At 54.1% G+C, this 12,804-nt stretch overlaps 2 protein-coding genes across 6 annotated transcripts in view, besides 2 other annotated features; one reads left to right on the forward strand and one right to left on the reverse strand.

Annotated features, from left to right (window-relative positions):
- Positions 1-550, reverse strand: part of POLE (DNA polymerase epsilon, catalytic subunit) — a 63,581-nt gene extending 63,031 nt beyond the window's left edge. For all 5 annotated transcript variants that reach the window (XR_941395.3, NM_006231.4, XM_011534795.4 and 2 more), the window contains exon 1: positions 462-550. Coding sequence is in view for 4 of the 5 variants with exons in the window: in NM_006231.4 (NP_006222.2) it covers positions 462-523 (62 nt within the window). In the remaining variant the exon portion in view is untranslated. The remainder of the gene's footprint in view (positions 1-461) is intronic.
- Positions 1-1,310: a silencer, noted in NCBI's record as "silent region_5123". NCBI's record gives its function as "represses an Ori minimal core promoter by ATAC-STARR-seq in GM12878 lymphoblastoid cells {active_cell/tissue: GM12878}" and the evidence as "EXISTENCE:reporter gene assay evidence [ECO:0000049][PMID:35858748]".
- The window catches only part of PXMP2 (peroxisomal membrane protein 2), a 17,399-nt gene continuing 5,389 nt past the window's right edge, over positions 795-12,804 (forward strand). The window contains exons 1-3 of the mRNA NM_018663.3: positions 795-1,000; positions 3,471-3,584; positions 9,092-9,254. Coding sequence (NP_061133.1) covers positions 879-1,000; positions 3,471-3,584; positions 9,092-9,254 — 399 coding nt within the window. The 5' untranslated portion in view covers positions 795-878. The remainder of the gene's footprint in view (positions 1,001-3,470; positions 3,585-9,091; positions 9,255-12,804) is intronic.
- Positions 4,886-5,055: an enhancer, noted in NCBI's record as "experimental_26027 CRE fragment used in MPRA reporter constructs". NCBI's record gives its function as "activates a minimal promoter by MPRAs in K562 erythroleukemia cells, with activity observed for both the introgressed and non-introgressed 12:133268349 variant alleles {active_cell/tissue: K562}" and the evidence as "EXISTENCE:reporter gene assay evidence [ECO:0000049][PMID:34662402]".

A 12,804-nucleotide genomic window follows, 5' to 3' on the forward strand; every position in this document is an offset into this window, starting at 1 on the left:
AGGATCCTGGGCTCCAGCGATCCGCCCGCCTCGGCCTCCCCCAGCGCTAGGCCCCCAGGCAGGGTCCCCGGCCCCGCCCCTCCCCGCACCCTCCCCAGCCGCGCGTCCACCCCGCAGGGCCTGGCCCGGGTCCCGCCGCTCTCATCGCCCCCGCCGCGCGGCAGGTCCCAAACGCAGCTGCGCGGAAGGCGAGGCCCGAAAAACCTCAGAAAGAGCCGAGCAGGGAAAGGCCGCGCGGCCCGCCTCGTTTCCCCGCAAAGAAGCCGCGCCCGTAGCGCCTCCGCCCGCCCCGAGCCCCTCCGTCGGCGGTCGGGGCGCGCCGCCCTACCCCAGTCAGGCGCGGCGAGTGCGGGCGGCTGCGGGAACCGGGCCTCCCTCCCGCCTCGGCGGCGCCAGCCGAGGACGGCCCCATGGCACCCTCCGGAGGGCCGGCCCGAGAGCCTCAGGAGGGCGCCCCTCACCTGCTGGCCTCGCCATCCGCGCCTGGGTCCGCGCGCCGCCGCCCGCCGCTCCTCAGAGACATGGAGCCGTTGGCTACCACCTCTGCTTCAGGGGAGAAATTTGGCGCGCTCCCACCCAGACTCGCGAGAGCCGGAAATGCCGCCGTCCATCAAGAGGCGCGCTCCGCCCCTCCCCCGCCCCCCGAGGCGCTCCAATTGGCGCCGGCGCCCGGCGGGGGAGGTGGCCGGCAGGGACCGGGGAAAAGTGTGTGGTAGGCGCGCGCGGCGCACCGTGGGGTTGGGACCGGGCGGCGCTGCGGGCCGCGGTGGGGCCGGAAATGTCAGGCGGTCCCCACTCCGCTCTCGGCGCCTCGGGCTCCGCGCCCGGCCAGCCTGAGGTGGGGTCGGTGCCCCCGGCGGCACGGCGCTGGGGAGGCGATGGCGCCGGCCGCGTCCAGGCTGCGGGCCGAAGCCGGGCTCGGGGCGCTGCCGCGGCGGGCGCTCGCCCAGTACCTGCTCTTCCTGCGGCTCTACCCGGTGCTCACCAAGGCGGCCACCAGGTGAGCGGGGGCGCGGGAATCGGACGCCGCCCCGGCCCCAGGTCGGCCGCAGCGGCGCGGGGCCTGGACGGGAGCGCCGGGCCGGGACCAGGCTGGGGGCGCGCCCGGGTCAGAACCCCCGGAGCGGGCGCCCTCCGACCCGGCGCTGAACTTCCCGCGGCGACACCCGCGTCCGCAGTCAGCGATTGTGAGGCGCCTTGCGGATCCCGCCCTCCCAGCGCGTGGAGGGCCCGCCCAGACCCGGGGGTCGGCGCTGAGGTTCCACCCAAGGACCCAACAGGGGCCCCGCGCGCCCGGGGAAGCCACGGCAAGGGGAGCGGGTCCGCAGGCGCGGGTGAAGACAGGGCGAGGGGAGCGGGTCTGCGGGGCGCGGGTGAAGACAGGGCGAGGGGAGCGGGTCTGCGGGGCGCGGGTGAAGACAGGGCGAGGGGAGCGGGTCTTGGGGGCGCGGGTGAAGACAGGGCGAGGGGAGCGGGTCTGCGGGGCGCGGGTGAAGACAGGGCCAGGGGAGCGGGTCTGCGGGGCACGGGTGAAGACAGGGCCAGGGGAGCGGGTCCTCATGGAGCGTGTGGAGACAGGGCCAAGGGAGCGAGTCTGCGGGGCGCGGGTGAAGACAGCGCCAGGGGAGCGGGTCTTGGGGGCGCGGGTAAAGACAGGGCCAGGGGAGCGGGTCCTCATGGCGCGGGTGGAGACAGGGCCAAGGGAGCGGGTCTGCGGGGCGCGGGTGAAGACAGGGCCAAGGGAGCGGGTCTGCGGGGCGCGGGTGAAGACAGGGCGAGGGGAGCGGGTCTGCGGGGCACGGGTAAAGACAGGGCCAAGGGAGCGGGTCTGCGTGGTGCGGGTGAAGACAGGGCCAGGGGAGCGGGTCTGCGGGGCACGGGTGAAGACAGGGCGAGGGGAGCGGGTCTTGGGGGCGCGGGTGAAGACAGGGCCAGGGGAGCGGGTCTGCGGGGCACGGGTGAAGACAGGGCGAGGGGAGCGGGTCTTGGGGGCGCGGGTGAAGACAGGGCCAGGGGAGCGGGTCTGCGGGGCACGGGTGAAGACAGGGCGAGGGGAGCGGGTCTTGGGGGCGCGGGTGAAGACAGGGCCAGGGGAGCGGGTCTGCGGGGCACGGGTGAAGACAGGGCCAGGGGAGCGGGTCCTCATGGAGCGTGTGGAGACAGGGCCAAGGGAGCGAGTCTGCGGGGCGCGGGTGAAGACAGCGCCAGGGGAGCGGGTCTTGGGGGCGCGGGTAAAGACAGGGCCAGGGGAGCGGGTCCTCATGGCGCGGGTGGAGACAGGGCCAAGGGAGCGGGTCTGCGGGGCGCGGGTGAAGACAGGGCCAAGGGAGCGGGTCTGCGGGGCGCGGGTGAAGACAGGGCGAGGGGAGCGGGTCTGCGGGGCACGGGTAAAGACAGGGCCAAGGGAGCGGGTCTGCGTGGTGCGGGTGAAGACAGGGCCAGGGGAGCGGGTCCACATGGAGCGTGTGGAGACAGGGCCAAGGGAGCGAGTCTGCGGGGCGCGGGTCCGCACGGCGCGGGTGGAGACACGGCCAGGGAAGGTGTTTTGAGAAGGTGACATTGAACAGGCTGTGTAAAGAAGTGGAGCAGAGGCTCTCCTGGCACAGGGAACAGCAGGGCAAAGGTCTCTGTTAGGTTTTGAAGGGAAGGCCGGCGTTAAAGAAAGGCGGAGAGAGGTGCAGCTTGGACTCAGTCCCGAGGGAGGGAAGATCTGTGTGTGGAGAAAGTGAACCCTGAGCAAGAGGCAGGAGATGTGAAGGGAATCGCCAGGGATCTGATCGAGAAGGTGTCTAGGTCCGTGCTAGGAATTTTGGATTTTATAGTCCAGAGAGCTTCTCAGAAGGCAAATACAAACCAAGGCCTGGAGGGAGCCACTGGGCCTGTTCCACCTTTTTATGGAAATTTTTATTGTGATAATTGTAGATTCACAAACAGTTACAAGACTAACATGGAGAGATTCCTTGCACACCTTCCCAGTGTCCCCCATTGGTTACATTCTGTGAAACGTAGTGCAGTATCGACCAGGGCATTGCGTGGACACAGTCCACAGATCCTATTCGGATTTCTCCATTTTTCTTGTAGCTGTATCTGTTCTGTACAGTTTTATCACATCTGTACATTCTTGTGTTCACTACCACAGTCAAAATGCAGAACAGCGTCATGATAGGGCTGTCCTGTTGCCCGTTCATAACCACACAGCTTCCCAACTCCCAAACTGCCAAATTATAGTATAACATCACAGCCAGGATGTTGACATAGATACTGGAAAGCCACTTGTCCTTACCTGTGTGTTTAAGTCCACCGTCTCCACCTTTTGATACAAGAACTATACATTGCAGCCGCTTTAACAAGAATTCCTACCCCCCGCCCATCTGCTGCATGGCCTCAGAACGGCCCTGCTAATTCACCTATGGGAAAGGGACACCCTCCTGCTGGTCACTGCTGTTTTCTGATGACCTCCCTCTCCACAGTGGCATTTTGTCAGCACTTGGGAACTTCCTGGCCCAGATGATTGAGAAGAAGCGGAAAAAAGAAAACTCTAGAAGTCTGGATGTCGGTGGGCCTCTGAGATATGCCGTTTACGGGTGAGTGCCATACAAGGGGTGGGTTTACCTTGTAGCCGCTGAGTGCAACCAAGCTGGGCACCAAAACCGAGTAGTTGGAGTACTCTTATTTGGAAATATAATTTTTTAAAAACCATTGTAGTAATCATCATGGGAAAAAACTCGAATGGTTCATATAGTTTGTATGGCATATATACGCATACGTGGTTTTTTTTGTTTTTTCTTTTTTTTTGGAGACAGAGTCTCACTCTGTCACCCAGGCTTACTGCAACCTCTGCCTCTCTGGTTCAAGTGATTCTCCTGCCTCAGCCTCTCAAATAGCTGGGATTACAGGCACACACCGCCATGCCCAGCTAATTTTTGTTATTTTTAGTAGAGATGGGGTTTCACCATGTTGGCCAGGCTGGTCTTGAACTCCTGACCTCAAGTGATCCACCTTCCTTGGCCTCCCAAAGTGCTGGGATTACAGTGCTAGGAGTACAGGCTCACATTTGTGGTTTTATCATGTTTCTTTTTAATTGGATGGGTAGGGGTGACTGTCTTAATTGGGCTGAGAGGCAAACCTGAGGACAAGTAACTCAACTTAACCTAAAGTCAGACTTCAGGATTCAAAAACCCTGAAAGCGTCCTAGACTGGGCTCATGGAAAGGGAAAACTGACTCCAATTTGACCAGTTAGTTTCTATTGTTATTTTAATTTTTTTTTTTTTTTTTTGAGACGGAATCTCACTCTGCTGCCCAGACTGGAGTGCGGTGGCGCGATCTTGGCTTACTGCAAGCTCTGCCTCCTGGGTTCACGCCATTCTCCCGACTCAGTCTCCCGAGTAGCTGGGACTACAGGCACCTGCCACCACGCCCGGCTAATTTTTTGTATTTTTAGTAGAGACGGGGTTTCACCATTCACAGGATGGTCTGGATCTCCTGACCTCGTGATCCGCCCACCTTGGCCTCCCAAAGTGCTGGGATTACAGGCGCGAGCCACAGTGCCTGGCCTCTATTGTTATTTTCATAGTGTAAACATCCAGAAAATAAATGCTTCGGTACCCTGAAAAATGTCCAGTTTCTGAACCACTTTCTGAGTTGCAAAAGCACAGTAATTCAAGAGTTTTACCAATTTAATCCACCGTGAGCTCTCGGCCAACAGTAATGTGAAGTATTTTCCAACTACAGTGATGTTTTCTTTAATTCAGAATTCCTGAAGATCATTTTTATACTTCCAAGCTTGCTAACTTGAGTCATCATGGATTTTTCCATACTGTATTTAAAGCAGTAATCCCCCCAAGAGGGGCAGGTGATGAGATCACCTAGCAGGCCTCATCCAAGTACAGTTTTCCCATCCACAGGACTTCAGTCCCCTTCCCCACTGAGAATCCCTGCATAGGCCACATAACCCCCTATGACTGGGTGGGAAAAAACACTGAGAACCACTTATCTAAAGACTGTCAACGTCACAAGTTGAAAGACCCCTCTTTTTGTTGCTGAATTTTATGGAACTGCAGGCCTCTTGTCCCAGTAGATGTGGCAGCTGGTTCCATTCTCTCCCAAACACACAGGGGAATGATTAGTAGCAACGCACACAACCTAGAGTGCTGCACCAGGTCCTGCCCTTGCCAGTTAGTTAGTGAGCTCCCTTGCCAGTTAGTTAGTGAGCACCCTTGCCAGTTAGTTAGTGAGCTCCCTTGCCAGTTAGTGAGCTCCCTGAGCCAGTTAGGTAGTGAGCTCCCTGAGCCAGTTAGTTAGTGAGCGCCCTTGCCAGTTAGTTAGTGAGCTCCCTTAGCCAGTTAGTTAGTGAGCTCCCTTGCCAGTTAGTGAGCTCCCTTAGCCAGTTAGTTAGTGAGCTCCCTTAGCCAGTTAGTTAGTGAGCGCCCTTAGCCAGTTAGTTAGTGAGCTCCCTGAGCCAGTTAGTTAGTGAGCTCCCTTAGCCAGTTAGTTAGTGAGCTCCCTTGCCAGTTAATTAGTGAGCTCCCTTAGCCAGTTAGTTAGTGAGCGCCCTTAGCCAGTTAGTTAGTGAGCTCCCTTGCCAGTTAGTTAGTGAGCTCCCTTAGCCAGTTAATTAGTGAGCTCCCTTAGCCAGTTAGTTAGTGAGCGCCCTTAGCCAGTTAGTTAGTGAGCTCCCTTGCCAGTTAATTAGTGAGCTCCCTTAGCCAGTTAGTTAGTGAGCTCCCTTGCCAGTTAGTTAGTGAGCGCCCTTGCCAGTTAGTTAGTGAGCACCCTTGCCAGTTAGTTAGTGAGCGCCCTTGCCAGTTAGTTAAGTGAGCGCCCTTAGCCAGTTAGATAGTGAGCGCCCTTAGCCAGTTAGTTAGTGAGCGCCCTTAGCCAGTTAGTTAGTGAGCGCCCTTGCCAGTTAGTTAGTGAGCACCCTTGCCAGTTAGTTAGTGAGCTCCCTTAGCCAGTTAGTGAGCTCCCTTAGCTAGTTAGAGAGCTCCCTTGCCAGTTAGTTAGTGAGCTCCCTTAGCCAGTTAGTTAGTGAGCTCCCTTAGCCAGTTAGTGAGCTCCCTTGCCAGTTAGTTAGTGAGCTCCCTTGCCAGTTAGTTAGTGAGCTCCCTTAGTCAGTTAGTTAGTGAGCGCCCTTGCCAGTTAGTGAGCGCCCTTGCCAGTTAGTTAGTGAGCTCCCTTAGCCAGTTAGTGAGCTCCCTTGCCAGTTAGTGAGCGCCCTTGCCAGTTAGTTAAGTGAGCGCCCTTAGCCAGTTAGATAGTGAGCGCCCTTAGCCAGTTAGTTAGTGAGCGCCCTTGCCAGTTAGTTAGTGAGCACCCTTGCCAGTTAGTTAGTGAGCTCCCTTAGCCAGTTAGTGAGCTCCCTTAGTTAGTTAGTGAGCTCCCTTGCCAGTTAGTTAGTGAGCTCCCTTAGCCAGTTAGTTAGTGAGCTCCCTTAGCCAGTTAGTGAGCTCCCTTGCCAGTTAGTGAGTGCCCTTGCCAGTTAGTTAAGTGAGCGCCCTTAGCCAGTTAGATAGTGAGCGCCCTTAGCCAGTTAGTTAGTGAGCGCCCTTGCCAGTTAGTTAGTGAGCACCCTTGCCAGTTAGTTAGTGAGCTCCCTTAGCCAGTTAGTGAGCTCCCTTAGTTAGTTAGTGAGCTCCCTTGCCAGTTAGTTAGTGAGCTCCCTTAGCCAGTTAGTTAGTGAGCTCCCTTAGCCAGTTAGTGAGCTCCCTTGCCAGTTAGTTAGTGAGCTCCCTTGCCAGTTAGTTAGTGAGCTCCCTTAGTCAGTTAGTTAGTGAGCGCCCTTGCCAGTTAGTGAGCGCCCTTGCCAGTTAGTTAGTGAGCGCCCTTGCCAGTCAGTGAGCGCCCTTGCCAGTTAGTGAGCGCCCTTGCCAGTTAGTTAGTGAGCGCCCTTGCCAGTTAGTTAGTGAGCTCCCTTAGCCAGTTAGTTAGTGAGCTCCCTTGCCAGTTAGTTAGTGAGCTCCCTTAGCCAGTTAGTTAGTGAGCGCCCTTGCCAGTTAGTTAGTTAGCTCCCTTAGCCAGTTAGTTAGTGAGCTCCCTTGCCAGTTAGTTAGTGAGCTCCCTTGCCAGTTAGTTAGTGAGCTCCCTTAGCCAGTTAGATAGTGAGCGCCCTTAGCCAGTTAGTGAGCGCCCTTGCCAGTTAGTTAGTGAGCGCCCTTGCCAGTTAGTTAGTGAGCTCCCTTAGCCAGTTAGTGAGCTCCCTTGCCAGTTAGTTAGTGAGCTCCCTTAGCCAGTTAGTTAGTGAGCGCCCTTGCCAGTTAGTTAAGTGAGCGCCCTTAGCCAGTTAGATAGTGAGCGCCCTTAGCCAGTTAGTGAGCGCCCTTGCCAGTTAGTTAGTGAGCGCCCTTGCCAGTTAGTTAGTGAGCTCCCTTAGCCAGTTAGTGAGCTCCCTTAGCTAGTTAGAGAGCTCCCTTGCCAGTTAGTTAGTGAGCTCCCTTAGCCAGTTAGTTAGTGAGCTCCCTTAGCCAGTTAGTGAGCTCCCTTGCCAGTTAGTTAGTGAGCTCCCTTGCCAGTTAGTTAGTGAGCTCCCTTAGTCAGTTAGTTAGTGAGCGCCCTTGCCAGTTAGTGAGCGCCCTTGCCAGTTAGTGAGCGCCCTTGCCAGTTAGTTAGTGAGCGCCCTTGCCAGTTAGTGAGCTCCCTTAGCCAGTTAGTTAGTGAGCTCCCTTAGCCAGTTAGTGAGCTCCCTTAGCCAGTTAGTTAGTGAGCGCCCTTGCCAGTTAGTTAAGTGAGCGCCCTTAGCCAGTTAGATAGTGAGCGCCCTTGCCAGTTAGTTAGTGAGCGCCCTTGCCAGTTAGTTAGTGAGCTCCCTTAGCCAGTTAGTGAGCTCCCTTAGCTAGTTAGAGAGCTCCCTTGCCAGTTAGTTAGTGAGCTCCCTTAGCCAGTTAGTTAGTGAGCTCCCTTAGCCAGTTAGTGAGCTCCCTTGCCAGTTAGTGAGCTCCCTTGCCAGTTAGTTAGTGAGCTCCCTTAGTCAGTTAGTGAGTGCCCTTGCCAGTTAGTTAGTGAGCGCCCTTGCCAGTTAGTTAGTGAGCGCCCTTAGCCAGTTAGTTAGCTCCCTTAGCCAGTTAGTGAGCTCCCTTAGCCAGTTAGTTAGTGAGCGCCCTTGCCAGTCAGTTAGTGAGCGCCCTTGCCAGTCAGTTAGTGAGCTCCCTTAGCCAGTTAGTTAGTGAGCTCCCTTGCCAGTTAGTTAGTGAGCTCCCTTAGCCAGTTAGTTAGTGAGCTCCCTTAGCCAGTTAGTTAGTGAGCTCCCTTAGCCAGTTAGTTAGTGAGTGCCCTTGCCAGTTAGTTAGTGAGCTCCCTTAGCCAGTTAGTTAGAGAGCTCCCTTGCCAGTTAGTTAATGAGCTCCCTTAGCCAGTTAGTTAGTGAGCGCCCTTGACAGTTAGTTAGTGAGCGCCCTTGACAGTTAGTTAGTGAGCTCCCTTAGCCAGTTAGTGCCCTTGCCAGTTAGTGAGTGCCCTTGCCAGTTAGCCTAGTGAGTGCCCTTGCCAGTTAGTTAGCCTAGTGAGTTCCCTTGCCAGTTTGTTAGCCTAGTGAGTGCCCTTGCCAGTTAACCTAGTGAGTTCCCTTGCCAGTTAGCCTAGTGAGTTTAATGAAAAGCTCCACAACCAGGGACATGTCTGATGATTCATTATTGAGTGCTTCTCGAAGCCTGGCCCTGTTCTGGGCACTGCAGTGGACAGAAGACGTAGCCTCCCTTGTGGAGCCTGCCTTCTAGGGGGGACGAGAGGCACAGACTAACCTAACATATGAGATAAGGACAGTGCTAGGCAGAAAATGAACCAGGGCCAAGAGTGTTAGCACAGGCGTGCACACGTGCTGGGACGACCTGGAAGCTGACAGTGTGAGGAGGAGCGAGCCAACATAGCTAGGCGGGGACGCGCTGGGAGCAGAGAGTCAACGGCAGGAGCAAGTCTGGTCTGTTAGAGCAACAGAGACAGAGCGCCCCTGAAGCCGACTTATCTGTACAGACCTGTGTGGCCAATACTGAGGGACATCAGGAAGCAGGGGTTAGGACCTGGGATTTGGGGGTGAAGCTAGACCAGAGAAGAGCACATCCAGAGAACCACAATCTGGCTCACACCCCCTGGGGGCCTCAGGTTCTTCTTCACAGGGCCGCTGAGTCACTTCTTCTACTTCTTCATGGAACATTGGATCCCTCCTGAGGTCCCCCTGGCAGGGCTCAGGAGGCTTCTCCTGGACCGCCTCGTCTTTGCACCGGCCTTCCTCATGTTGTTCTTCCTCATCATGAACTTTCTGGAGGTGGGTGTCTGCCACAGCACTTACTGCAGCTCTTCGTTTAGCACAGGGATTCTTCACCTGACATTCTCGGCAGAATTCAGAGGGTCTGCAGATTTTTCACTCAAATTGAAATTTTGCATTTTCTTTTATGAATATAGGAAGCAAACATCTAGTATTGGCAGGACCTGTTTGTACCCAGTAGAGTCACTTTATTTATTTATTTATTTAAAGACAGGGTTTCACTCTGTCACCCAGGCTGCAGTGCAGTAGCACAATCATAGCTCACTGCAAACCTCAAACTCCTGGGTTCAAGCGATCCTCTTGCCTCAGCCTCCCAAGTAGCTGGGACCACATGTGCGTGCCACCACACCCAGCTAATCAGATATTTTTATATCACATCAGTTGTTACAGATATCTCGAAATATAATTTATGCTCATTACTACTTGGACCTGCCATTAGAGGTCTTGTCACTGTGTAAAGAAAGAAACAGGCCGGGCACAGTGGCTCACACCTGTAATCCCAGCACTTTGGGAGGGCGAGGCGGGTGGATCACCTGAGGTCAGGAGTTCGAGACCAGCCTGGCCAACATGGTGAAACCTCGTCTCTACTAAAAATACAAAAAATTTAGCTGGGCACAGTGGCAGTCGCCTGTAGTCCCAGCTACTTGGGAGGCTGAGGCAGGAGAATGGCGTGAACCCGGGAGGTGGAGCTTGCCGTGAGCCGAGATGTCGCCACTGCACTCTAGCCTGGGTAATAGAGCCAGACTCCGTCTCAAAAACAAAAAACAAAACAAAACAAATTAGCCAGGTATGGTGGTGCGTGCTTGTAATCCCAGCTACTCGGGAGGCTGAGGCAGGAGAATCGCTTGAAGCCGGGAGGTGGAGGTTGTGGTGAGCTGAGATTGTGCCACTGCACTCCAGTCTGGGCAACAGAGCAAGACTCTGCCTCAAAAAAAAAAGAAAAAAGAAAAAAGAAACAGGGCCGGGCATGATGGTGCACACCTGTAATCCCAGCACTTTGTGAGGCCAAGGCCAGTGGATAGCTTGAGGCCAGGAGTTCGGGACCAGCCTGGGCAACATGGCGAATACCCATCTCTCAAAAAGTAAAAAATGAGCCAGTGTGGTGATGTGCACCTGTAGTTCCAGCTGTTTGGGAGGCTGAGGTGAGAAGATCCCTTGAGCCCAAGATGTGGAGGCTGCAGTGAGCAGAGATCACACCACTGCACTCCAGCCTGGGTAACAGAGCAAGACACTGGTTCAAAAGACAAAAATAAATAAATAAATAAATAAACACATTAGTCTGTCAAAATTTTTTCTGAATATTTTGATAACTGTATTTCAGTATTATTGGTTCCTTTGTAGTCCTATTTTATTTATTTATTTATTTATTTTTTATTTTTGAGGCAGAATCTCGCCCTGTTGCCCAGGCTGGAGTGCAGTGGTGCGATTTCAGCTCACTGCAACCTCTGCCTCCCGGGTTCAAACGATTCTCCTGCCTCAGCCTCCTGAGTAGCTGGGATTACAGGAGCCCGCTACCACACCCAGCTTATTTTTGTATTTTTAGTAGAGATGGGGTTTCACCATGTTGGCCAGGCTTGTCTTGAACTCCTGACCTCGTGATCCGCCTGCCTTGGCCTCCCAAAGTGCTGGGATTACAAGCGTGAGCCACTGCGCCCAGCCGTATTTTATTTTATAGATTACAAAACATTCTGAGAAGGGGGTCCACAGGCTTCACTAAACTGCCAAAGAGATCTGTGGCACAAGAAGTTTGAGACCCCTACTGATAACACAGAAGAGTTCCGGGCCTGGAGGTTAACCTACCGGCATAATCCCAGTCAGAATCCAACGCATGGGAGGCGTGTTCACCTGCACTCAGCAGGTGTGTCTGTTCTGACTGTCCCACCTCCCCCGTTCACGAGCACCTTCAAATCCTCACCATCTCTAGGAGCACCAGCCAGGTTGTGCTGTGTGTCTGAGACGTGTCACCTTTTTTTTTTTTTTTTTGAGACGGAGTCTCACACTGTTGCCCAGGCTGGAGTGTAGTGCGTGATCTCAGCTCACTGCAACCTTCGCCTCTTGGGTTCAAGCAATTCTCTGCCTCAGCCTCCCAAATAGCTGGGATTGCAGGTGCCCGCCACCATGCCCGGCTAATTGTTTTGTGTTTTTAGTAGAGACGGGGTTTCACCATCTTGGCCAGGTTGGTATTGAACTCCTGACCTCGTGATCCACCCGCCTCGGTCTCTCAAAGTGCTAGGATTACAGGTGTGAGCCACTGCACCTGGCGTCACCTTCTGTCCTGAAAGTAAATTTGTTTTAACCATTCACTTCTCCATACAGAAGTTATAAAGGTTCATGTATTCAAACATGACATTATTCTCCTTCATGCCTTTCCTTACAGGAAGATAATAGAAATATTCTCCTCTGCTTTCCTCCGGTATTCTTATGGTTTTACTTGTGTACAGTAGGAGATAGACTTCTGTGTTGATTTTTCCACTTACATAGCAAATTTTCTCATTACCATTTATTGGGCAATCCCCAGTATTTTGAAATATTCTCATTTCCATCTGTACAGGCAATTATCTGCACTCTTTGTTCTTTTGCTGGATTATTTTCTTTTTTTTGAGATGGAGTCTCACTCTCGCCCAGGCTGGAGTGTGGTGGCACAATATCGGCTCACTGCAACCTCCGCCTCTCGGGTTCAAGTGATTTTCATGTCTCAGCCTCCAGAGTAGCTGGGACAACAGGCGCCCACCACCACGCCTGGCTAATTTTTGTATTTTTAGTAGCAATGGGGTTCCTCTGTGTTGGCCAGGCTGGTCTTGAACTCCTGGCCTCAAGTGATATGCCCACCTTGGCATTACAGGCATGAGCCACTGTACCCAGCTTCTCCCCCTTACTTTAAACAAGAAAATATTTAAGCATTTCTTTAAAAATTTTTTTTAGTTTGTATATATTTAGAGGGTACGAGTGCAGATTTCTTATGTGACTGTGCTGTGGTGAAGTCTGAGCTTTTACTTCCCATCACCCAAGTAGTCAGTGGTGATTTTCAACCCTCTTCTCCCCGCCACCTTTTCAAGTCTCTGGTGTCTGTTATTTCCCTCTGTTGGTCCATGTATACCCACTGTTTAGCCACCACTTATGAGTGAGAACATCGGCTGAGGCAGGAAGGTCACTTGAACCCAGGATGTCGAGACCAGCCTGGGCAACAGAGTGAGACCCCTTCTCTACAAAAAAATTAAAAATCAAAGGGTTGTGGTGGCACATGGCTGTAGTCCCAGCTACTCAGGAGGCTGAGACGGAGGCTTGATGTCAGGAGGTTGAGGCCAAGTGAGCCGACATCACGCCACTGCACTCCAGCCAGCATGGGCAACAGAGTGAGATGGCGAGACCCTGTCTTGGAAAAAAAAAGTGAGAACATGCAGTGTTTGACTTTCCATTGGTGAGTTGTTTCACTTGGGATAATGGCCCCCGGTTCAATCGACGTCACTGCAAAAGACATGCTTTTTTTTTTTTTTTTTTTTTTGACACAGAGTCTCGCTCTTTCATCCAGGCTGGAGTGTAGTGGCGCAAT

The sequence above is a fragment of the Homo sapiens genome, chromosome 12 (genome assembly GCF_000001405.40).
Source record: "Homo sapiens chromosome 12, GRCh38.p14 Primary Assembly".
Lineage (NCBI taxonomy): Eukaryota > Metazoa > Chordata > Mammalia > Primates > Hominidae > Homo > Homo sapiens.